Source organism: Homo sapiens, chromosome 17, assembly GCF_000001405.40.
Source record: "Homo sapiens chromosome 17, GRCh38.p14 Primary Assembly".
NCBI lineage: Eukaryota > Metazoa > Chordata > Mammalia > Primates > Hominidae > Homo > Homo sapiens.
Window position 1 is genome coordinate 71,311,139 of NC_000017.11, and position 377 is coordinate 71,311,515.

The window sequence follows — 377 nt, forward strand, 5'->3', positions numbered from 1 at the left end:
TATTGAAATATTAAAAAAAAAAAAGAAAAGAAACAATACAGAGAAGATTAGTATGGCCCCTGTGCAAGGATGACATCCAAATTCATCAAGTGTTCCATTAAAATAAATAAATAAATAAAAATATATATTTCCTCCTAGTCTATGGCTGGCATTTTCACTTTTTTAAAGGTGCCTTTTGATAAAGCTGCAAAATGAAGTCTCAGAAGCTCTTGATAATCAAGAGTAAGATTAGGGAGCATAGCTGGGAGGACATTGCAATATTTTAAGTGAAAGACATGATGATGGCTTGGAGGTAGTGAAAGCATTGTAAGGAATTGATCACATTTTGATTATATTTTTGAAGACAGAGCGTCCAGGATTTTGCTTTAGAGAGAAAA

At 32.4% G+C, this 377-nt stretch overlaps 1 non-coding gene across 1 annotated transcript; it reads left to right on the forward strand.

Annotated features, from left to right (window-relative positions):
* On the forward strand, positions 1–104 carry LOC124904109 (U6 spliceosomal RNA). The gene has a single exon (XR_007065984.1). It is a non-coding gene; the product is annotated as a U6 spliceosomal RNA (small nuclear RNA).
* The last annotated feature ends 273 nt before the right edge of the window (positions 105–377 follow it).